The sequence below is a fragment of the Homo sapiens genome, chromosome 7 (genome assembly GCF_000001405.40).
Source record: "Homo sapiens chromosome 7, GRCh38.p14 Primary Assembly".
NCBI lineage: Eukaryota > Metazoa > Chordata > Mammalia > Primates > Hominidae > Homo > Homo sapiens.
Window position 1 is genome coordinate 119,544,426 of NC_000007.14, and position 1,806 is coordinate 119,546,231.

Below are 1,806 nucleotides of genomic sequence, written 5' to 3' on the forward strand. Positions count from 1 at the left end.
AATGACCAATTAAGGATTTTCTAGAACCAAAATACTTTAATATTCACCTTACATTATAATCTATAAATCGATTGCCTGGATGAATAACTCTTTATAATCCCAGATTTTTAAAAGGCAGTCAATAAAATTATAAACCTACCATTCTCTCTTCCATCATATTCTACCATTACAAATTATAACTACATGTTTCTCAGATAAATATTCATCGTGAAACTCAGGTGGGTTTCAGCTCTGGCTATTCCACAACTAATCATTATTATTCTCTCAGCCTGGTAGAGGCATCATTTAGGAATGGCATTAAACTTTACTTTGTGAATCAGAAGTGGTTATGAATTATATGAATATTCAGTGTTGTATTACATAAATTCATTGCTGATGTCCAGATAGAAATATTAATAAAAGCTGTTTTTTTTTACTACATTGTTGGTCAGTGTTGGTTTGAACTGAATATAGAAAATGTAATACACTGAATAACATATAACATAAATGTGCTTTTATCCTTAATCTTATAGATTGTTTTTAATCATGCTATTTGAACCAAATCATTAGATAATTTGATATGAGACAAACTAAATGCATGTATCAAAGCTATTGAGACTAGAAATGTAAGCAATTTGTTCTCACTGCTGATGCAATAGTTTTATACTTAAATACCAGAGATAGCCAAACCAAATAACCAACACTACAATTACTTGTTGCCAGAAAGATTGACAATATAAATTCCACTGAAACCAAAACCATTAACTTCTGGTATGTCTTGAAAAACCAATGGACTCAACTCCAGATATTCTATATAGCATGCCAAAGAATTCAGCTGCTTACAATCACAACCATAACTAGTGTATATCTGAGGCCTTATCAGGAAGATGTATTGTTTAAAATGTGATGATTCACTGGTGTCAATAACACTTTTGTTTAAATGACTGCAATGAGTAATTGGTAATGTTTGCTTTGAAACCATTGAGCTTACAACTCATATCTCTTGTAATGAATACTGTGGGTGTACTTCCTAGACAACCTTCTACAGGGCCAAGTCATTCATTTCCTTAGCTGGTATAAATGTTTTCACTGAAGCCCAAAGCTGAGTTACCTGCAAGAACTGTACTGCCTTGACCTTGGTGAAAGGAAATTTTCTCACTCATTGTTTTGCCTCCTTTCTGGTTGCAGCACTTATACAATGCCTGGTTGATGCTACATGAAAGTATGAAGGCCCTCCCACATTTCCTCCATTTGGGACGACTCTGAAGGGCCATCCCAACTCCATCGCTCTCCAGGAGATAAGCTGAGGCTTCTATTGTGAAAGTAGCACAATTCAATGTCTCCTTCTAGCCAGTTCTGTTTCACTTACTTCCACATAGGTAATGTCACTGAGAATACACTTACATAAACATAATGCCTGACAATCTCTGTCTCAGTCTATTTCCCATGGAACCCAATGGGAAACTTCTGTACAAATCTGTCATAAAATAGAAAAACACTGGTCACTTATATTGTCTCTGCATTATAAAAATTTTAAATTAATTTCTGGTGAAGGCTTCAGCTTGTTCTATCTAAAATCTTTGGACTCAGTTCTTCATGGGATGGGGCACTATCTTGCCCTTTTCTTATTAAGTTATAACTATTCCAAATATTTTCTGCAATTGCATTGGACCTAGCAGTTATGTTTGCAGAATATAAAATGATAGTTTATTTACTTATCACTCATGAGGAAGTTGATTAGGAATATCACTATTATTATATCAGGTATAATAATATATGTTAAGCTACAGTCAGAAGATTCCTGATCTATTTCTTGGCCTCCCTAGA

The 1,806-nt window shown here is 34.1% G+C and overlaps 1 annotated feature.

Moving 5' to 3' along the window:
- Positions 269-1,468: an enhancer, noted in NCBI's record as "CDK7 strongly-dependent group 2 enhancer chr7:119184748-119185947 (GRCh37/hg19 assembly coordinates)". NCBI's record gives its function as "activates an origin of replication core promoter dependent on BRD2, BRD4, P300/CBP, MED14 and CDK7 cofactors, with strong dependence on CDK7, by STARR-seq in HCT116 cells {active_cell/tissue: HCT116}" and the evidence as "EXISTENCE:reporter gene assay evidence [ECO:0000049][PMID:35650434]".